Below are 23,808 nucleotides of genomic sequence, written 5' to 3' on the forward strand. Positions count from 1 at the left end.
TTAGTTGAAATTCTAAAAAAAAAAAAAAAAAAAAAAAATCACCTTATGTAAAAGCCTCAGTATTTTCAACTTTTTTTCTACACCCAAAGTCTGGCTCTTTACCTGCAAAACTAGGAGCAAATTTTAACTTGCACTATAGTTCTCATTTATAAACAACTTTCTTCCTTGGTTTGACTGTACCCTATATGCTCCATATCACTTGAAGAAATGTTTGATTTTTCTGTGGGCATTAGTGAGACAGGCTCCCTGTTGTATATTAGACAAACCAAAGGGCATTCTGTAATCTGTGGGCAACTAGTATTTTCCACCATCAACCACCCCAGGGTACAGGACACGTTTTTAAGAGAAGGAAATACAATAGTGCCCGCCTTATCTGCGGTTTCACTTTCCGTGGTCTCAGTTACCCTCAGTATAGTACGATTTTTTGAGAGCTCACATTCACATAACTTTTATTACAGTATATTGTTGTAATTGAGTTATTGTTAATCTCTTGCTGCATCTAATTTGTAAATTAACTTTATCATAGGTATGTAATATAGGAAAAAACATGCAGTTCAGTACTATCTATGTTTCAGGCATCCATTGGGAGTCTTGGAACATATCCTCCGTAGATAAGCGGGGACTAATGTATCATTGTTAAATTTCTAAGTCAAAATTGATACGGTAGCAAAAGGGATTAGATTAAATGAGGACATGTCAAAAGGCCAGACACATAATGATCAATATGGGTTCATTCGCCCTAGTTAGCTCATATTAGTAATTTCTCAATAGTGGTTTTTAAAACTATGGATTCTGGAGCTAGCTTTGTGACTGTAGGCAAGTTACTCAATTCTTTAAGCCACAGTTTCCTGATATAAATGCAATGAGGATAATAGCACTGCTTTACAGTAGTACTTTAGAGGGGTACTATGATTAAATGAAATAATATATTGAATTATCATTGTGCGTGGCACATAGTAAGTGCTCAGTAAAGCATTAGTTTAATTTAAAACAGAAAAACATAACCAGTTCCCTGAGAGGCTCATAGGCCAGAGACATGCTCTTTGACATCTGATAGATGAATGGCCTCATTAGAGGCTTTCCATTCAAATTTCAATAACATGGGAGCTAGGGGCTATGAATCAGTGCTTAAATTCTGAGCCTGTTTACTTTCTTACAGAGTTTACTTCCTTATAAAATGGAAACGAGAATAATCTGCCTCATTATTTTCATGTCATTAATTCATTCAGTGAGGCTTGTTAAAAATGTATGTGAAGGTGTTCTACAGAAATGTAAGGTTACTACTTAAAGTGAATGGTACAGCCATAATGTGTATACACATTGATGCCGTATCTGGTATCTCTGCATTATACCTGAAGACACTGGGAAAGGTTTGTTATACACTTTTCCAATCACATACTCTGATTGAGGGTAGCAATAGTATTTTTCTTATTCACATTGTATCTTCAATATTATATAGTAGGCAGGTAGCAAATACTTGGTGCACATGATGATGGATAAGGCAAATTTGGCTTTTAAATCACAATGCTTTTTTTCTTAGTGATGGAGATCTCTTGTGGAAAAAAAGGTACTCAGAGAAGTTTGTTAGGTCATCCAGTTCCTGGATATGGCCTGAACATCAAATGTTTTGGAAAATACCGAATGGATTGTATAGAATAGCTGACTTCCACTACCCTGCCCGACCTTTCTATTCTATGTGCAATACTGCTATGATATTTATATTAAATGTTTATTCCTTTTCTTGAAGAGTTGATTTTAAAATAAGCTAAGAATTTTGACTAGATAACATTAGCTTACATAAAATGTCATCTTTTGTGATAAAGACATACATTTGAAGCAGCCTCAGGAGTGAATTTCTCCTTCCCTTAGTACCCTTTGCAGTAATTGGCACACAACCATTTGAGGCATGGATGGGATAATCTTCAGGTCTTTGGCACCAGGGTTAAGCTTATTTTGAATCTATGCCATATTAGCAGGCGAACATTGCCACACTGACATTTAAATGCCCACCATATTATCTTAAGGTTCCTGAAGCAGGGGTAACTCTACTTTCAGTAAACAAAAATCAGATTGGACAATCGGAACTGTACAAGTTCTACAAAAGCATGTTGGAGTCACATAATGAAAAAGCAGATTTTTTTATTATGATGTTTCTCCATATTTGGCATTGCTGTAAATGGCTAACATTTACTGCCAATTCGGTACAAATGTGTGGTTTGGTAATACCAGAACAGCAAATTTAAATGAAAAAATAAAAGTTAAACATTTCCACACAAGGTTTTACAGTCTGACATTTCACTGCGTAGGTAAAAAGACACTTTTTTTTTAACTACAGATTATTATTCAGCATGAATAAAAAACTACAACTTTTATTTTTAAACAGGAGTCACTGGTTTTAATTTTTACACATTTTAAAATTACTGTGATAAAAAATAATGAAAAAGCTTCTTAATAATGCCATACACAGTATAATATAGATTTGTCCCCATTATATAGCATTTAATATACAAAATAGAATATTGACACACTTGAATCTATATGTAGTTAAGCAAGTTATTTGAGGAGGGTATTTTCATACAGCCTTTCATCAGAAAATAAAATCCTTTCAGACATTTTCTAGAGAGAAGCAAATCCTTTCCTGAAAACCTGGTCACTAATCCTGGGTGGACCAGGTTGCTTGAAAATAGTCTGGGAAATTACGAAACTCCACCCAAAGGGTTTAAAGTGTCCTCCTTACACTTTTATTTCCCTTCTGACACTAAAACCAGACACACACACACAAAAACACATTCACCTACAGCTACAGTCAGGGAGTGACCAGCCAAGATGGAAATCTCACTGAAGGCTACCATGGTTCTGGAAGTTTGACAGATCAATGTATTGTATAACAATATTTTTCATTCCATGGTGATGTAGTTTTCAGGGTTTTTAAAAGGGAACTAAAATTATGAGACTTAGGTGAAACTGGAATTGCTCCCTGCCTCTGAATTCTGAAGGGAGCGTGGCTTTCCTTCATGGCATGCCCAGAGCTCATCCCATGCTAATTATCCAGCACTTCATAGACACAAATCATGTTAGTTTTCCTTTTGGGGTGGCCAAGGTTTCCTCCCATAGTTTTAGGCATTTGGATATATATACCCCAAAAGTGTTATGTCCTAAGTGCCTCAGTTCTGCTTGTATAGTATCCCACAGAATACCTACAAACACTAAAAATACTTTTCAGGATTTGTTGTGAGTAACCAACTCTCACTGAAGTTACTACAAACTTCAACAGTTTGGGTTGGGATGGCCAGATAACACATACATAGGAAATAAATCTGCTTTCAAACAGCACCACCATATAGCACTTAAATCCACAATTAAACATAATTAAGATGACTTTCTTTTCCCCCACGTATCCTAAAAGGGCACAGCTTCTTTTCCCATTTAATGAAAAGCCTCCTATAGTTGTCGATGAGCATCAGTTGACTTATTATTGACAACGAAGTGCACATAATCTTCTTTTTCTCATTGAGTTCTATTTTTTGAGCGCCAAGATTGTTGGGATGAAAATCAGATTAATGTGTGAGATGTGCTTTCTGGTTTTAACCACATAACATTCTATAAAGGAATGATAATCTACGTTTTAGAAGCTCTTTTTGAAACTTAACACTGTCATTGATAAGAATATTCAAGCAGTTTTCTTAGGCACCAAAAATTTATCCAGCCGGGTTACACACCATCTTAAAATATTACATTCCCTTTTAGAGAGCATTCAAAAAGCAAATGATTGTTTTTTTATTAAATAATTTCTCCAAAATACTGAAAATAACAAATAACATTCAAAAAGCATTCAAAGAAAACAAAAACATGTCCTCATTTTATTTGGAAATAAACTCTTGTTGTAGGATAGAAAGGAATTAGTGTATTATTGGCAACCTATGAGATTCTGCACTATTTACATATTGCTGGTACCTCTATGCAAACTATTGCCAAACTTCTGAAGCTTCTGTTGTCATTCAACTGCTGGGGGAGGGCTGTATGTGAAAGTAACCCGCTATTAGATGGTGCCTTTAAGGATGTAAGCACCACCTTCCTGTCTCCTGTTTACATACTTTACATACTTTAGTGCAAGGGGAGATTGAGTAAACTAAACCTGCGCTGACAGACTCACTGTTGGAATGAGAAGGGTGGTCAGAATGGGAGGCAGAGGATAACTTCCTCTGTAATCTCACTGGGTCAGAGCCTCAGCAACCTTCACTGCACACAGGACCAGTCTCCATCTCCCTCTTCCCCTAGAGCAAACTGTTTGGTTTCTGAGACCATCGCTGCCTGTATGAATGCATGTACAAACTATAAATCATATAGGTTATCCATCAGCATTTCTTTGACCCCTACAAAAAATATATAACATGTCATGATAAAACAATCTCATCTAAAAATCATTCTTATTTTACACTATACAAGCTATTTTACAATCATTTTAATAAATTGCATGTAAAGCTGCAGTAGCCCTTCCCTTCCCAGATTAGTGAATACCAATATGATATATATCTGAAACTATAACTAAATATAAAAATATATTAGAAGTTCCATATTTTTAATATTAGATTTTCAGTTTTCTATTACACAAATAATTTGGCCACCTTGAATAGAAATCAAATTTCTTGTGGCTTAGTAAATATGTTAAGTTTTGAGTTTACAGAAAGTTGGTAAGGTGCACACAGAAAGGGCTACTACAGCTTCTATTTTGTTTAAAATAATTTTCAACAGTGAAGAAATTCACAGGACTTGTGTTAAACTCTATGGCACACATTAGGGATGTGTAGTTTTACAAACATGGATGTCTGACATACAGTTCTAAATCACAAAAATCAGTAGCTGAGCTTTCCTGTACCATCAGGAAAGATTAACCAATTGGTGACAGATGGGAATGTGAAAATGGGTGTCTAGCCATTTTTGCCATATTAGAGATTTAGTTTTTGGGTAAAGTTTAGTGAGAGGAATTACTTTGTCTGATTAAAAGTCTCTCAGCTGTGTTACAGCTGGTTATCTGGAATCACAACTTTTAAGAAGTTATACAAACTACTTCAAAAGGTCCTGAAAGACAAATAGTTTACCAGCTTTCTTGCCATATAGCCATTGCAAAAATAGGGCGTTAGGTACAGACAGGGCCTCTTGGTAGTTATTTTTTAAATTAGTCTTTTGCAACCATCATCCACAGTTTACCCAGCAGGTCACTGGACTAGGTGCTCTATACCAGTTAGGACTGTTAATTTGCACAACCTATATAATTCTCCACTGAAGCAGATATATACAAAATATGAGCTTTTTTTTTTTTTTTTTTGACAAGAATACTGGAGATTTGAGTCAATTTTTGTGGTCTTCTGATAGCTAAGTGCCATCAGGTTAGAAGCACCAACCCATTTTCACACAGATGATTGATTAATGTTTAGAGTTTATTTGGGAAAGCTACGAACTAGCTGCCCATCTTAAACAGCTGTACAATAACTTGAATAAAAAATTATGTAAGAAAAAATGAGCAAGCGTAGTTCACTAAATATAAAGGAAATTGTTAAAACCAGACAGTAATAGCTATAAAAGGCACAACTTCCCTTTTCTGATATACACTTGTAAACTTTTTTTCAGGTTTCCATGCATAAATCAAAAATGCTATCCTAACTATACAGGGGGGGGATACACCAACAGAAAGTCTAGAAAATTTCATCCAGCCAACTGTGAAAAAAAGTATGAAGAGAAAGTTCATCACACAGACTTTGGGCACTGGTGGTTTAGGTGCCATCCTTCTTTGACTGTGGAGATTACGTCCACATATTAAGGTTTCTAATTTCTGGGATATATTAACTAATAAATTTCACCATCTACTCTCCCATCACTGAAAAGTGATGACGACTCAACTGCTTCTGTTGCCAAGTCTTGGCCCTCTATAAACCACATGTAGTGCGTATTTAAAACAAAACAACAGATGAAAACAATAAAAAATAAAACAACAAAACCTCTACAGGACAAACTGATAGTTTATACAATAAAAGCTATTAATTCGACTTTCTTTAAGGCAACCATTCTTATTAAGGCAGTCACTTTTGATGAAACAGAAGTTTTTTGATATTTCCATTTGAATATTTTGGTATCTGATTGGTGATGATTTCAGCTAACATCTCGGGGAATTCAATACTCATGGTCTTATCCAAAAATGTTTGGAAGCAATAGTTAAGGAGATTTTCAACCACCTGCAAGAGAAGATATGGTAATGATCAGGCTTCCAAATTGGTCAGTGGGAACATCTCATGTTTGTTGTCCTCTATTTTGAAAAAATTATCTGGCCTAGAATATACCAATCTCACTGGAATTCCCCAGATGAAAAATAAGCACTTCCGTACAAAACACATTTTATATTTCTTTGATTGTATGTAGAATTATATAGAATTATTTCATGAATCACTGTAGTACCATAATATATGAAGGGTGCATTATTCTAATTTAATGGATTAATCATACTTTTTAAAAACAGTATTACTAAATTCTGTAATAACATGGTGATTTTATATACACATGACTAGGTGAAAGGATATTTCATAATTGGCCTTAGGAAAAATGTCTACAAAACTGAAGTTCATAAGTTGAACTCAAGCTATCACCAACATCCACAAACTGGGGGCGGGGGTGGGGGCGCTGCTGGTATATAATTATATTCACTAATCAAAACATACTTTGTCCCAGAAAACTCTTATATTTGGCTTTATGTTTGACACTTACTTCATGCATAGAATCCAAGAGTTTTGTCAGTTGATAAAACCGCTGCCAGTTCTGGCTGGAGTTTCCTTCCCTCTTGACAATGGCTTTTCCTAGCTCTTTGATGTAGGTCATTCTAATTTCATCAAATAGCTCTTGGCTCTTCAGACCGTCCTTAGGAACTAAAAGGTTAAGATGAAGTCAGTTAAAGGATTTTCTTTTTCTTTTCTTTTCTTTTTTTTTTTTTTTTGAGATAGATAGGGTCTCACTGTGTCATCCAGGCTGGAGTGCAGTGGCATAATCATAGCTCACTGGAGCCTTGACCTCCTTGGCTCAAGTGATCCTCCCACCTCAGCCTCCTGAGTAGCTAGGACTGTAGGCACAAGCCACCATGTCTGAGTGGCATAATCATAGCTCACTGGAGCCTTGACCTCCTTGGCTCAAGTGATCCTCCCACCTCAGCCTCCTGAGTAGCTAGGACACAAGCCACTGTGTCTGGCTAAATTTTTTTGTAGAGACAGGATCTCCCTATGTTGCCCAGGCTGGTCTTAAACTCCTGGGCTCAAGCAATCCTCCTGCCTCGGCCTCCCAAAGTGCCAGGATTACAGGTGTGAGCCACCATTCCCAGCCAGATTTCTTGCTATAACTTTTTATACATGCAAGATGGGCATTTAACATTGTTTATGTACTCTTACTGCACTCTAAAATATAAGCATTTTCTTAGGATTATTAATTAAACTACAGCCAAGAGAAAATGCAGGATAACAAAGAATTGGAGGACTTAACCTTGAGTAAATCACTTGATTTCTCATCTATAAAATGGAAGTGGTGATGATACACCTTCTCCTCCTTAGCTCACAAAGCTATTTGGAGGACCAAATGAAATAATACAGTGATTTTTAGTTAACTTTGTCTGCCATTCTGCACTTGAGTTTAATTCTAGTACTGAGATAGATAGAAGGCTTCAACAACAGTGTTTATTCCAGCAATTATATCTTGGAATATCTGTGATATCACCAGTTAATTATAACTTTAAAATCGGCATGCAATACTTTTTTTAATGTAGCTAATAGATATGTCTTAGTAGGGAGCAAATATCTGTCCTTCCTTATGTACATGGATTCTGGTTAGTGAAACTAGTATAAAAGTTTTGGGGGGATACATTACTCTTCAGAAAATGGTACTAATAAGGACAAGGAACAGAGGGTTAATCATGGTTTCACTTAATCCTGTGGAGATTAGGACTTTTGTAGAGTGCTACATTTTTCACAGTGTGCTCCTGGGAACACTGATTCTGTGTTAACTATAGTTAGAGCGAGACAAAGGATTTGGTGGTCAAAGTTTGAGAAAAGCTAAATGTTTAATACATATTAGGCAGACTTCTGAATTTCAGTACTTCTTGGAGATATAACTGTGCACTCTCCAGAGAGGGGAAATGCATTATTTCCCAAACTGAAACTTCACTGCTGCTGACATTTTTAGAAGATGCTGGTATAGAGGAAAAGCTATGGATTTAGGAGCTTCTAGAAGTCTTATTATTATTATTTTTTTCCCGAGACAGAGTCTTGCTGTGTTGCCTAGGCTGGAGTGCATTGGCATGATCTCAGCTCACTGCCACTTCCGCCTCCCAGGTTCAAGCAATTCCGCTCACCTTGGCCTCCCAAAGTGCTGGGATTTCAGGCAGTAAGTCACCATGCCCAGCCGAGTAGTCTTATTTCTTACTTGCCATGTGGACTTGAATATAACCTCCTTGAGCATCTTTCCTGCTCTTTTTCATTGGATTATGATTAGAATTAGACTAATGAATATGTATGAAAATGTTTGATTCCATAAAGCATTACAAGACATCAGTATTAACATGAAAATGAAGACCGCTTAATCAGGAGTGATAACGGCATTCTATATTAACAATGGGTTAATTTTACACATTACTATACTACAGAAAATCTAATTATTGCAAAATTGTAAAACAGCGATGGCTTATAGTTTTTTTCCCTGCCGTATAGTTTTTTTCCCTGCCGGTTAGTCCTAATTCTAAAAATAACTATGGTGAAGCCCAATTCAATATGCATATAAAAGAATTTCATCCATCTTAAATTTTTTTTTAATGTTTTAATATTGAAATCACTAACATTACTTCCTCTTTTGGCTGCAGGAAGTAAGTACAGCCTGGAATTCCCCTCCTACTGGAAAACTGGACAACAAGCAATACATGATTATGATCCCTAGGAAAAGAGAAACAAATACGGTAAGCCATACCTAGCCCAGGAGTAAGAAATCTTAATTCTAAACCTTTGTGCTTGAAAGTAATTATCATACTGCAGTGAAGGGAAAGGGAACCCAGGGTCTAGCAATCTTGCTGGGTTGAGGAGAAAGAGATTGAAGTTTGGGGAGGCTAAAGCAGCTTTAATTTATGGGTCAGACTACTGGAAACGAAGGAGGTACACAAAGAAAGGCCTCCAGAAATCTGTACAATTTATGGGTCAGACTACTGGAAACGAAGGAGGTACACAAAGAAAGGCCTCCAGAAATCTGTACAATTTATGGGTCAGACTACTGGAAACGAAGGAGGTACACAAAGAAAGGCCTCCAGAAATCTGTACAGTCTTCGGCTGAATAAAAATTTGTGCATACTTAGGGTGAAATCCCTTGAGGCCATAGAGGAAAGAAAGATCTAATTAAATATGCCGGGCATTCAGTAGAGACCTAGGGGCCACATCTCAGAAGCAAGGCTAAATTAGTCCCAGAAAAAAGGCTACATAGATCAGTGGTTCTCAAAAGGGAGGGGGAGATTTTGCCTCCAAGGGGATATTTGGCAATGTCAGAGATATAGCAGACAAATCTAACATTATAAACACCTTTGTCTCAGAATCAATAAGAATAAACAAGACTTAAATTTGACTGACATTTCTGAAACAGTCTACCCAAGAACTTGCATTCTTTTCAAGTATACACAGAACATTAATCTAGAACATAAAACAAGTCTGAATACATTTAGGAGGATTAAGTCATACAATGAATGCTGTCTGACAAAAATGAGATTAAAATAGAAGTCAGTAACAAACATATCTGGAGAAAAACCCAAATGTTTAGAATTTGACATTTAATAAGCTATAGATTAAATAAGGCATCATGATTAAATAAGGTATCATAAAATTAAAAATCTCTAGTACTGAAAACACAGCATATCAAAATGTGTGGGATGCAATGAAGACAGTGCTTAGAAAATTTACAGCATTAAAAGCTTTGATTAGAAAAGAAAGGTCTCAATTAATTATATATGCTTCTACCCTAAACACAAGAAAAATGGAAAGGATAAAGAGTAGAAACGAATAACTAAGAACATGCATAAACAACAACAAAATCAAGACCAAGCTGGTTCTATGAAAACATTGGTAAAACTGAAAAACTTTTAGCCAGACTGATTAAAAAAAAAAAAAAAAAGCAAGAATATATTAAATACCAATGTCGGGAATGAAAGGGAATAACACTAGAGATACTGGAGCCATTAGAAGGATATTATGGGAATATTATGAATAACTTAACTTTATACCAATAAATTCAACATTTGAAGGAAACAGTTAAATTCCTTCAAAGATGTAAACCAACAAAGCTCACTCAAGAATAAACATATTATCAGTAAACATTTGATGAACTTGTACTTGAAAACCTTTCTACAAAAAAGGCTCCAAACAAACCAAGACAGCTTCACTGCTGAGTTTTACCAAACGTTTAAGAAAGAAATAATACCATATTATCATAACACCAAAGCTATAGAATATATCCCTCATGGATTTAGATGCAAAAATACCAAAATTTTAGTACAATGAATTCAGCTATATGTAAAAAGGATACTATATCATAACCAAATAGGATTTATCCCCGGAATGAAAGGCTAGTCAATTACTCAGAAATTAAACAGTATATTATACCATTATACCATATTAGTGACTAAAAACGAAAAATATATGATCTTGAGGCACAAAAGCATATGATAAAAGTTTTTTTTGCTATTATGAATAATGCTGCTATGAACATGGGCAGTCATTAAATGCATGGCAAGTCACAAGGGTCAACTACATACTCTCTAGGATAGCGATAATAAAAAAACCATACCAAGCTCTGGCAAGGATGTAGACAAAGTTGTAGGATCTAGAACAACTAGACAGAAAATCAGCAAAGATACAGAAAACTTGAATTAGTCTATCAATCAACTTGACCTAACTGACGTTCATAAAACTCTACTTAACAAGAGCACAGTAAGTTTTTTTTCAAGCACTCATGGAACACTCAGGATAGACCATATGCAAGTGCCTAAAAAAGTCTCAGAAGACTTATTGGAGTCATTCAATATTAGAGTCCTTCAATGTACCTCCTACCTCAGTGGAATTAAATTAGAAATGAATAGGAAGAGATATGGAAAATCCCCAAATATATAAAAATTAAGCAATACACATGGGTCAATGAAAAAAATCATGAAGGACATTAGAAAATGAAATGAATGAAAATATACAAAAAATGTATAGCTTTAAACATCTATATAAGAAAATAAGGTCTTCAACTAACAATGGAAGCTTCTACCTTAAACTAGAAAAAGAGGAACAAATTAAATGAAAAGCAAGCAGAAAAGAAGAAATAATAATCAATGACATAGGAAACAAAAAGAGAAAATCAATGAAACTAAAAATTTCAATGAAACTAAAAATTGGTTCTTTGTAAAGACCAACAAAATTGATAAATTTTTAACTAGACTGACCATGAAAAAAAGATGATCAGGCACAAATTATGAAAATCTATAATGGAGGGGACACCTCTATGGATCCTACAAAACTTAAAGGATTACAAACAACTTTATGCCCAAGTTAGACAACTCAGACAAAATGGCTCATTTCATAGAAACACACAAATTACAAAACTATGTCAAGGAAAAATATAAATTCTGAATAGATCTATATAACAAATAAGCAAATAATTAAAAATCTTCCCTGAAAGAAAACACAGACCCAGATGGCTTCACTGGTAACATGTATCAAATATTTAAAGAATAAATAAGATCAATACTCTATAAACTCTTTAAGAAAACAGAAAATACTTCTCAACTCATTTTAAGAGGCTAGTACTACCCTGGTAGCAAAGCCAGAAAAAGATATCACAAGAAAAGAAAGTTGTAGATCAGCATCCTTCATAAAGAGAGATATAAAAATGATCAGCAAAATATTAGCAAACCAAATTCAAAATATATATGGAAAAGATTATATACCATGATCTAGTCAGAAAACTAGATCTTAAACCATTTCAAGCCATTTTCCTGATTTTGCAAATAAATTTGTATTAGAACACAAGCATTCACATACTGTATATAGCTGCTTTCCTGTTATAGCTGTAGAATTGAGAAATTGCAACAGGGACTATATGGCCTACAAAGACAAATATGTACTGTGAGTCTCTTTACAGAAGACTATTTGTGGAACTATACTCTGCTCAGTAGTATTTTAGTAGTATTTTTGGAAAGAGGATTTGATGGTCTCCCCACTCCTCCAAAGCTGGAATTCCTATTCTTTCTCAACAACTGGAATTTTTTTTTTTTTTTTTGGAGACGGAGCCTCACTCTGTTGCCCAGGCTGGAGTACAGTGGCACAATCTCGGCTTACTGCAACCTCTGCCTCCCAGATTCAAGCGATTCTCCTGCCTCAGCCTCCTGAGTAGCTGGGACTACAGGCATGTGCCACCACGCCTGGCTAATTTTTTTGTATTTTTAGTAGAGACAGGGTTTCACCATGTTGGTCAGGCTGGTCTCGAACTCCTGACTTGATGATCTGCCCACCTCGGCCTCCCAACGTGCTGGAATTACAGGCGTGAGCCATAGCGCCCGGCCAGAAATTGGAAATTTAAGATGTTAATTATTTTCAAATGGATCTATAGATTCAAGGCTATCCTAATAAAAATTCTATCAGACTGTGTTTTTGAGACAGAGTCTCACTCTGTTGCCCAGGCTAGAGTGCACTGGCATGATCATGGCTCACTGCAGCCTTGACCTCCCTCCTCAGCCTCCTGGGTAGCTGGGACTACAGGCACAAGCTACCATGCCTGGCTAATTTTTTCTATTTTGTGTAGTGACAGGGTTTCGACATTTTGCCCAGGCTGGTCTCAAACTCCTGGGCTTAAGCGATCTGCCTGCCTTGGCCTCTCAAAGTGGTGGAATTACAGGCATGAACTACCACACCCAGCCCCAAAAGACTTTTTGGTAGAGATTGTCAAGCTAATTAAAAAATACGTGGAAGACCAGGCACAGTGGCTCATGCCTGTAATCCCAGCACTTTGGGAGGCCGAGGTGGGTGGATCACCTGAGGTCAGGGTTTGAGACCAGCCTGGCCAACATGGCGAAACCCCGTCTCTACTAAAAATACAAAAATTAGCCAAGCATGATGGTGGGTGCCTGCAATCCCACTGCTGGGGAGGCTGAGGCTGCGATGAGCCAAGATCATGCCACTGCACTCCAGCCTGGGCAACAATAGTGAGACTCCATCTCAAAAAAAAAAAAAAAAAAGGAAGTGGAAATGCAAGGAAACTAGAATATCCAAAACAACAGTTTGGAAAAGAACAACAGATTTGGAGAATTCATATTACCAAATTTCAAGATTTACTGTAATGCAACAGTAATCAAGACAGGGTGTTATCAATATGAATATAGGCATACAGATCATTGGGTAAGAAATACAGATCGTTGGGTAAGAAAAAGAGTCTGAAAGTAGACCCACACATATACAAACAACTGATTTTCTACAAAATTGCCAAGTAACTCAATAGGGAAAAGAGAGTCAAGTTCTGGAGCAACCAGATATGGATTTTGGGGAAGAAAATGAACCTTGTCCCTTACCTTGCATCATATACTTAAGCATGTGAGCTGAAACTACAGAATTTCTATAAGAAAACAAATAGTAGAAAATCTTTTTAACCCTGGATTAAGCAAAACTTTCTTAGTAAACAAAGACACGAAGCTTTCTTCAAAATTATACACTTTTGCTCATCTCTACATTTTTTTAAGAAAACTGTAAATGTAATCCACTTAAAGAAAACATGCAAAACATATATTTAACAAAGGGCCACATTGAGAATATTTGAACAATTCTTAAAACCCAGTTAAAAAATGGGCAAAAGATTAAAAGAGGCACAATACCAAATAAGAAATATAGGTGGCCAATAAGCCCATGAAAAGATGCTTAATATTTTTAATCATCAGTATACCTACGATGAAAGAGGCTGACAGTACCAAGTACTGAGGAGGATATAGAATGGATCTTAAGAAGTCTCATACATTTCTGGTAAATGTTAACAATTGCGGAAAAGTTTGGCAATTTTAAAAATAAATTTAAACACACACTCAACCTATGTCCCAGTGATCTCACACCTCAGTATTGACCCAAGAGAGATGAAATGTACATCCATATCCTTATTTTTTTGTCTGCTTAATTTGTAAGAAAGGTATAGTAAAATCTCATTATTTTTACTAGATTTATCTAAGTATTCTTGTTCTATGAATTTTTGTATTATGTAATTTGAAACTATATATTTACAATTATTTTTCCTGAACAAATGCTTTAAGGAGTATTTTGCCTTAACATCTATTTTGCTTGGTAATAATGTAGCTCCTTCGGTTTTGTTTTGGTCAATATAGGGGCCAGCAAACTTTGGCCTATGGGCCAAATCCTACTTGCAGCCTGTATTTGTAAATAAAGTTTTATTGGAACACAGCCATGCCTGTTCTATTTGAGTACCGTCAATGACTATGTTCCTGCCACAAGGGCAGAGTTTAGTAGCTGTGACAGAGACTGTGCAAAGCTAACAACATTTACCATCTGGCCCTTTACAGAAAAAGTTGGCCATGTCTTGGGTTATACTATGCAAAGTAGATCCTTTTACTTCAGCCTTTCAATATCTTTATTCAGATATAGCTTTTTTTAAATAGCATAAATTTGGATTATTTCTAAAATCCTGTCAGATTAGCTTGGAGCATTCAGTCCATCTCTACATTTATTTTATTTTTGAGACAGTGTCCCTCTGTCACCCAGTTTGGAGAAGAGTGGCACGATCTTGGCTCACTGCAACCTCCATCTCCCAGGTTCAAATGATTCTTGTGCCTCAGCCTCCCGAGTAGCTAGGATAACAGGCATGCACCACCACACCCGGCTTTTTATAGTTTTAGTAGAGTCGGGGTTTCGCCATGTTGGTCAGGCTGGTCTCGAACTCCTGACCTCAAGTGATCTGCCCACAGCCTCCCAAAGTGCTGGGATTATAGGTGTGAGCCACTACACCTGGCCCCATCTCTATATTTAATGAAACTAAACTACTGATGTGTTTGAATTTAGCTGTACTAATGTACCTTATCTGTTACTTCCTGTTATCATGCCCTTGTTTATGCATTTTTTTCTCCCTCCTCTCATGTCTTTCATTCTTTTGGATTGTTTTTCTTAGGTATTCTCTTCCCCCAATGGTTTGGTACTTTGCATACCCTGCATACCCTATTTCTAGTTGTCATCCTTGAAACTTACTTTAGTTCTACTTTTTAGCCCTCAAGGAAATTGTTACTGTTGTTATTTTATATACATAGTAAATGTCAGTTTAAATGTATCTATATTATTTACCACTTTTGTTATTCTTCAGTCCTTCTTAAAGATGGGATTACTTTTATTATTTTTTTTCTAAGATGGAGTCTCCCTCTGTCACTAGGCTGGAGTGCAGTGGTGCTATCTTGGCTCTCTGCAACCTCTACGTCCCAGGTTCAAGTGATTCTCCTGCCTCAGCCTCCTGAGTAGCTGGGACTACAGGCGCGCACCACCACCCCCAGCTAAGTTTTGTATTTCTAGTAGAGATGGGGTTTTACCACGTAAGCCAGGATGGTCTTGATCTCTTGACTCTGTGATCTGCCTGCCTCAGCCTCCCAAAGTGTTGGGATTACCGGTGTGAGCCACCACGCCTGGCTGGGATATATCCTCTAATAATTTTTTAGTGAGCATCTGGTGGCAAACTTTATTTTCACCTCCTAGTTAAAAAAATAGCTGATTGGTGTACTTAGAGCATTCAAATTTAAAGTAATTACTGATACAGCTGGATTAATGTCTACTATGTTTATATTGCATTTGAGTTTGGGGGAATTTCCTTTGACCTATCTATCTTCAAGCTCACTGACTCTTTGCTTGGCTGTGCTCAGTCTACTGATGAGCCCATCAACATCATTCTGCATTTCCTTACAGCATTCCTTAGCATTTATTTTTAGAGTTTCCATCTCTCTGCGTACATCACTTCTTGCATGTTGTCTACTTTTTTCCATTGGAGCCTTTAACCTACTAATCATAGGTATTGTAAATTCCCTATCTGATAATTGAAATATTTGTGTCATATCTGAGGACTGCTTCTGATGCTTGTTTTGTCTCTTCAGACCGTGGGTTTTTCTTGCCTTTTAGCATGCCTTGTAGTTTTTTTGCTGAAAGCTGGACATGATTGATATATCAAAACTGAAGTAATTAGACTTTTAGTGTGAGGTTTCATGCTAATCTGGCTAGGAGCTGGGCTGTATTTAATGTTTGCCATAATTGTAGGTACTGGAGGCTTCAGTTTCCTCTAGTTTCCTTGTTTTTATTTACTTTTTCTTCTGTTGTTTTTGGGTTTCCTAAGAGCTCCTTAAACAGCTTGTGTCTTGCAGCTCTCTCAGTTGTAATCCACTGTTATTTTATCCTGGAGCCCTGTTTATATGGTGGTAAGGTGTTGGGGAGGGGGAGGGGAATTGTTTTTTAATCTTTATGATTAAATCTCAGTTTTTTTTAGTGGGTCTGAATCCCTGGGCTGTGACTTTCAGAAATGAGACAAGAAGGCTAAGGAAGGGCTAGAATCCTCTATTTGCCTTTCCCCCAGGTCACATAAGGGCCTGTTGAATTAGTTTTCCTTACAGGGCAGGCCTTTTGTTGTGAACACTCTGCTACGTATTTCCAAATTTTACCTTCCCTCTACTCCTACCAGAAAAAGGAGGGAATTTTTCTTGCATCTTCACCATAAGAACCTTGTGGAGTTTCTGGAAGTTAGAAATTTTGTGGGGTAAACCCAAGAAATTGCAGGAAACCCCCACTAAGACTGGGTCCCTGGGAGTTTTTAACTCTGAAGCTAGTCCTCACTCAGCCTCCAGCAATTCATCAAAATTGCCATAGTCTTCCTGGCTTCAGTGGCATCTTTTCCCAAATTGCCATAGTCTTCCTGGCTTCAGTGGCATCTTTTCCCAGTAAGCTGATCTTGGCTGTTTCTCTGTATTTGTCTATTCTTCTAGATTTTGAAGTGGTGGTTTGTCCTATGACCTCCATTCTCTGAGGGATCTAAGAAAAGTCATTGCTTTTCCAGTTTCTATAGCTTTGTTGCCATTTTCCTGTTGTGATTTTCAGTACCTACAGATTTCCCTTGTGGTTTATATACACAAACATATACACAATCATTAAAAACAATTGTATTCTTCTGCTTTTAGATCCATCCACTGCCTTTTCAACTGCATTTATATTTCCATCCCTTGTTTTTAAACTTACTAAATATACAGAACCAGTCCAAATGCCCATCAATCAACGAGTGGATAAAGAAAATGTGGTATATATATACCATGGAATACTACTCAGCCACAAAAAGGAACAAAATAATGGCATTTGCAGCAACCTGGATGGAACTGGAAACCATTATTGTAAGTGAAGTAACCCAGGAATGGGAAACCAAATATTGCATGTTCTCACTTCTAAGTGGGAGCTAAACTATGAAGATGCAAAGGCATGAGAATGATATTATGGACTTTGTGGACTAGGGTTGGGGAGGGGATGAGGGATGAAAGACTACACATTGGGTACAGTGTACACTGCTCGGGTGATGGGTGCACCAAAATCCCAGAAATCACCACTAAAGAACTTATTCATGTAACCTACCACTACCTGTTCCCCAAAAACCTATTGAAATCATTTTAAAAAAGATTATAAACTTAAAAAAACCCCAACTTACTAAACTTACTAATTTACCAGGTTCTACAAATGCCGTCAAAGAGCAAGTTGGCTTGAGTTCCACTTATCTCTGTAGGTTCCTGCCTTCACTTAGTTCTTAATTTTTTTAGTCTAGCATTTTTGGTGGGAGGTTATATACCTATTCCAGTAGTCTATCATAGTAGAAGTCTATATCTTAAGGTATATATTTCCATCCTTATGATTCTATTATTTTTTAACAAGAAGAACTCGTGATATTATTTACAATGAAAAAAATCATATAGCTCAATTAGTCTGGGATGTATACAATTGAAACCATTCTTTTTTTTTTTTTTTTAAACAAGTAAAGTTGTTAGTATCCAGGCACTGAATTATACCTTCATGGTATCAATCAAAGCTATGATCAGAATTTTATGTAACTGCTTAATCACTTCTTTAACAAGTGTACCGCTACAGGTAACATTAAACGTCTCTAGCAATGATCTTTATCGGGTTCTCTTGCCTTGACTGAAATATTATTAATACTTCTTATATCCATTAACATAAAATAACTTTTTGTTGAGCAAAAATAGTGTGAAAACATTAAGATGAATGTGCGCTTTGGAAATGTTTAAATAGATATGAAATGATTAAATAAAATCACAGTCTTGTGCAACATCCATAGCTTACAGTTATTTGGCAACTATGAAACCACAGTTACTAATGGAATTAAGACTTTTTAAAAAATTGCAAATGTACTTATTTGTATATGAAAGAGGTATTCAGCTATTAACTCAGTATTTAATAAACATTGATATGTAATTTTTACTTGAAATGGCCTAAGGTTTATAATACCAACTAGTTCATAGAGCTTTTTTTAAAAAAGACTTTTTTTAGAGCAGTTTTAAGTTCACAGCAAAATTGGGAGGAAGGTACAGAGATTTTTCATATACCTCCTGTCCCACACATCATCACCCAAAGTCCATAGTTGAGGGTTCACTCTTGGTGGTGGACATTCTTTGGGTTTGGATAAATGTATAATGACATGTTTCCACCATTGTAGTATCATACGAAGTATTTTCACTGCCCTAAAAATCCTCTGTGCTCTGCACATTTATCCCTCCCTTCCTTCTAAACCCTGGCAACCGCTGATTTTTTTTTGCTGTCTTCACAGTTTTGCCTTTTATGGAATGTTATATAGTTAGAATCACACAGTATGTAGCCCTTTCAGATTAGCTTTTTTCACTTAGTAATATGCATTTAACGTCCCTCCATGTGTTTTCATGGCTTGACAGCTTATTTCTTTTTAGTCCTCAATAGTATTCCATCATCTGGATGTATCATAGTTTATCACTTCACCTACTGAAGGACATCTTTGTCTTTGCTAGCTAAAAAGTAATCTCACAGAAGTTCGTTTTATAAACTCTTGTTGCCATTTTCTAGATAATGAATCTCTGACAATCCAGCTCCCATGCTATGTTAACCAATCCCCAATAGTAATTAAGCACACCTTTTCTAGGATGCGCCTTTTTCTCCCATAATTTCTCATACATGCTAATACTCATTAGGAAACTAAAATTTTTAACCAAATAACAGTGTAGTGGACAAAATCACTGTAGTTAGCTTTCTTTTTCCATGTCTTCCCATGATCAAAGATCAAAGGAAGGAAGGAGAAAAAAGTCTACACAGATTCTTATCAACAGAGATCCCTATGCAGCTCATATACCTCTCTGTTTCTGCCATACCTATTTGTCTTATTAATCTTGGTGTCACTTACTGTGCCTTTCTAATATTTTACATTCATAAAAATCATCTGACTAGTAGGAAATAATAGTAGACTTGGTATAATTATTAGTACTATGTATATAAATTAACCTTTGTTTCTAGGCCTTCATATTTCATGCTTTTGACATAAGGTGAAAAGGTGTTCTACCAACCTGAAGAGAGAAGCAGTAAGGTTTTCATACAGAGATACTCTTCATAAGATACCTGAAGCCTGTGTAACTCAGAGGAAACATACAGCATGTGTTTACATTGGTCGTACATGCAGGGTAGAGTCATTCTCTGCCTGTGAAAGATAAATAGCAGGGTATTAGTTAGAAATACTGCTACTTCCCCCCAAAAAGCACATTTTTGTTTTGTTTTGCAAAACTATGAACTCATAAAGAAAAACAACTACTGCAATAATATTATTGCTAATTCCCTATAAAATCAGAATTTTGGAGAACTTTCCTTAAACTTCCTGCATCTTGGCTGTTTAAATAGACTAATGAATAATCTAATGTAACAGTGGAGATATTATTTTCTATCATGCATGCCATGTATTATTTTATTATTTAATTAAAGTGTTAGAATTCTTATAGAACTTATTACTAGTTGCTCATTTAAATCAAGGTTTATCATTTGAATACGGTCAATTAGACGACAGTTTTAGGTCCTACACACTTGATTTTTAAAGGTAAATTTTTTCACAGCAGTCCATCCTAAAGACAAAAATGTGTGACACTGTTCACAGTTATGCAGAGGGCGAGACCTAGAACTTGATTCTAGACTTCTGATGCTCAAAATCTGCCTCTGACAGGCATATGCCTTAATATTCTTTAAACTAAAGGTACTAAACCAATTCTTGCTTATGATTCTGAAGTCATTACATACCTATGATTTTCAAATAGGTCTCTAAAGTTTCCTGACTTGTGAAATGACACTAAGAGCCTGAAACTGGGCCCAGTTCACAGCTTTTAAAATGCTTCAAGATTTTTTTTTTTTTTTAAGTTTCTGACAGAAAGTCGTCTTGGACTTAACAACAGAAAGGTTATTATTTTTCTCTACTGAATATGTGGTTTATTCCTTTATATAAAATAAATTAGACATGACTTATATGCTGCCAAAGTGATCAGAGGCTCTTCAAATTTAAAATCTGCTCTTACCGAAGAGGCACCTCCCTAGTCCTTAATAGTAGGTAAAGCACTCCTTTTCTGGGAGGCACCTTTTTTTCCTTTAGTTTCTTGTACATGGTTATACTCATATAACTGAAAATTTCAACAAAGTTATAGTGTAGTAGAATAAGTAAAAACTCATTCTTGTTGGCTGTAAAAACAACAACAATTTTTTTTTCCCCCACAACGTTCTGACCTAAGGGCAACCATGAGAGACTGTTTGACAGCTCTATAGAGGGTCAGAACTTGAATGCATACTTTCTGATATGCAATATCTGCCTGTCACAGACACCAGAGCAGTATGGAAACATAGTGGGCTAAGAAAAAAGGGTGGAGGGCTGGGTGCGGTGGCTCACACCTGTAATCCCAGCACTTTGGGAGGCCAAAGTGGGTGGATCACTTGAGGTCAGGAGTTCAAGACCAGCCTGGCCAATATGGCAAAACCCCGTCTCTACTAAAAATACAAAAAATTAGCCAAGTGTGGTGGAGTGCGCCTGTAATCCCAGCTATTCGGGAGGCTGAGGCAGAGAATCACTTGAACCCTGGAGGCAGAGGTTGCCATGAGCCAAGATCACACCACTGCACTTGAGCCTGGGTGACAGAGTAAGACTCGTCTCAAAAAAAAAAAAAAAAAAAAAGAAAAGAAAAAGGTGGAGGACTGCCCATCTTTTAGGCAGCAGCATGAGAACACAAGAATAGGAAGTACATATCCCTTAATGAAAATGAAACTAATGTAAATCTGTTGAGGAAAAAAAATTATAAATCCCACTTTATGTAAGGAATGTATGTGGCATGATTAGATTTTGCTGTGACTGCTTAAAGCTAAATCTGAATGCCCTAATAATAAAAACCCTAAATTAGGTTAGTTTTATAAACCAGGATAAGTTGGTGTTTCATACAAATCTGTTTATGCTTTTAATTCCACTTAAATGCCTTCAAATTACATATTAGAAAGTGACTAAAAAACAAATACTGCCAACATGGTATTTTTTAAACAGCATGGTAGGATTATGATGAGTAATAATGTCTTCAGTTTCCCCAGAAACTAAATATATTTACCAGTTAATTTAAAATTGGATCCAACTACCTAATCTTGTTACATTGTGATGCAGTAGTTTGAACAGTCCTCTTTTTGGCAATAAAAGTCAAGGTGACTTCTGTTTTCTATACAAACAGAAATCTCCTTCATTTTTTATTCTTCTTAGACCAGGGGTATGTGTGTGTGAACTCCCTGTTTACATTGTACTAATAGCAATAAGCTAGGGGTACGAAAAGTAGTAATACAAGGTAGAAAGTGAGAGTAACTAGGATGTGACTTCTCTGCTGTGTATCTGGTGATGTGAACACCAAGAGTCTAAGAGTATGCTGGAAAGGATGGATGGGAATGAAGAGTGTGTGAAGGAAAACAATGGGAGAGGAAGTGAGGTCAGATTCTGGAAAGTCTGAAATCATGCAGAATATGTACTGGAGGGTCAGTGGGAAGATACTGAAGACAATCTGTGTACTGGGGAGATATGTGATGCAGTCAGACTGTGCTTGAGGAAGCAAACATTAGCCAACATGATGAACGTTACACTGGAGGGAGAAAACGAGTGAGGAAACAACTGCAATGAGGTAAGGGGAAATGGACACCTGAAGTATTTCGCAGACACAGGAATAAGCTTAGAGGATAAGAGAATAGCTGATTTATAAAATCTTAAAGGCTTGGTCTTCTCTCAGTTAAACAAAACAAATTTGTTCCCATATTCTTAAACCACAGACACTGGGTGAGCCTTGCCATGCAAAGAGATACCTCTTGTGTCTGGGTCCATATGTCCCACCCCATCAGCCTAGATATCCTCATCTACAATTGTCCCCACTGAATCCACATGAGTTTTACCATGCTCCTTTTTCTTTCTGGAATAGGGTTATGTAAATGATATCACAGTAAGATTCCTTGTTGCTTGCGACAGACTTTACTAACCTCAGATATGCTGTTAAATATCCTCAAACATGTCCTGGGACAGTAATAATGCCACATGTACATTTGCTTTACATTACACTTGTCCTGCCCCAAGCACTCATAACTCTATTTCCAGTTTGCCTAGATCCTAGATACCTAGTAGGATTGTTTCAGTCCTGAATTATCACAATAGCAGTCAATCAGGAAAACATCAGCTGGTTAAAGATACCCTATGAATACAGGGAAAATGACACACATACAACTTACTCATTAATAATCAGATCAGGAGCAAAACACAGCAGGTTTGCACTTGATTGTCTATATGATCTCCACCCCAGAGCAAATGCCATAAGAAACATCCAGGAGTACTGCAGTAGGGTCATTTGGTCATCCAGGTGTAAGTTCCTGAAACCTGAATTAAGAGAAATAAAGGTATGAGGCAACACTCTTCAGAAGATCATCTCTGTGGGAATTGCCAAGGAGCAATGAGATCAATTAGCCCTGTCAAAACAAGGGCACCCCTAACAGAAAATGGAAATTAAATACTAGGTAGACACAGTTTTCTTCTGTCATCTGACACTTTAAGACTCACAAACCCTCTTGTGTTTTTTTTTTTTTTTTTTTTTTTAATTGAGACAAAGTCTTGCTCTGTCACCCAGGCTGGAGTGCAATGGTGCCATCTCGGCTCACTGCAACCTCCGCCTCCCGGGTTCAAGTGATTCTCAGTGCCAGCCTCCCAAGTAGCTAGGAATACAGATTCATACCACCATGCCCGGCTAATTTTTGTAATTTTAGTAGAGATGGGGTTTTGCTATGCTGGCCAGGCTGGTCTCGAACTCCTGACCTCAACTGATCCACCCACCTGGGCTTCCCAAAGTGCTGGGATTACAGGCGTGAGCCATCGCACCCAGCCCCCTAGGTGCTTTTTAATAGCTTTTAATGTAAAAAAAAAAAAAAAAAGCCAGTTTTGTCACCTCTGTCTGCTTAAGTAAACATGAACTAAATAGTAAAATAGCCAAAATTCTTGGCTTGGCGGTTACCAGTGACCGGGAAAGATAGTGGTGATGGGGATGAAGCGGGAATGGTTGACGGGTGCAAAAATACAGTTAGAAGAAATAAGTTTTAGTGTTCAGTAGCACAACAGGATGACTATAGTTAACAATAATTTACTTTATATTTCAAAATAGCTAAAAGAGAAGATTTGGAATGTTCCCCAAAC

The 23,808-nt window shown here is 36.7% G+C and overlaps 1 protein-coding gene across 22 annotated transcripts in view; it reads right to left on the bottom strand.

The window, feature by feature from the left end:
* Window positions 2,120-23,808, bottom strand: part of NR3C1 (nuclear receptor subfamily 3 group C member 1) — a 157,582-nt gene continuing 135,893 nt past the window's right edge. For 15 of the 22 annotated variants that reach the window (NR_157096.2, NM_001364183.2, NM_001364180.2 and 12 more), the window contains 4 exons: window positions 22,857-23,001; window positions 19,649-19,779; window positions 6,757-6,914; window positions 2,123-6,230 (listed from right to left, as the gene is read on the bottom strand). Coding sequence is in view for 21 of the 22 variants with exons in the window: in NM_001364183.2 (NP_001351112.1) it covers window positions 6,078-6,230; window positions 6,757-6,914; window positions 19,649-19,779; window positions 22,857-23,001 (587 nt within the window). In the remaining variant the exon portion in view is untranslated. Of the gene's footprint in view, window positions 6,231-6,756; window positions 6,915-18,059; window positions 19,780-22,856; window positions 23,002-23,808 lie in introns of those variants that run through there. The other 7 variants (NM_001018075.1, NM_001018074.1, NM_001018077.1 and 4 more) reach the window with 4 other exon arrangements.

The sequence above is a fragment of the Homo sapiens genome, chromosome 5 (genome assembly GCF_000001405.40).
Source record: "Homo sapiens chromosome 5, GRCh38.p14 Primary Assembly".
Lineage (NCBI taxonomy): Eukaryota > Metazoa > Chordata > Mammalia > Primates > Hominidae > Homo > Homo sapiens.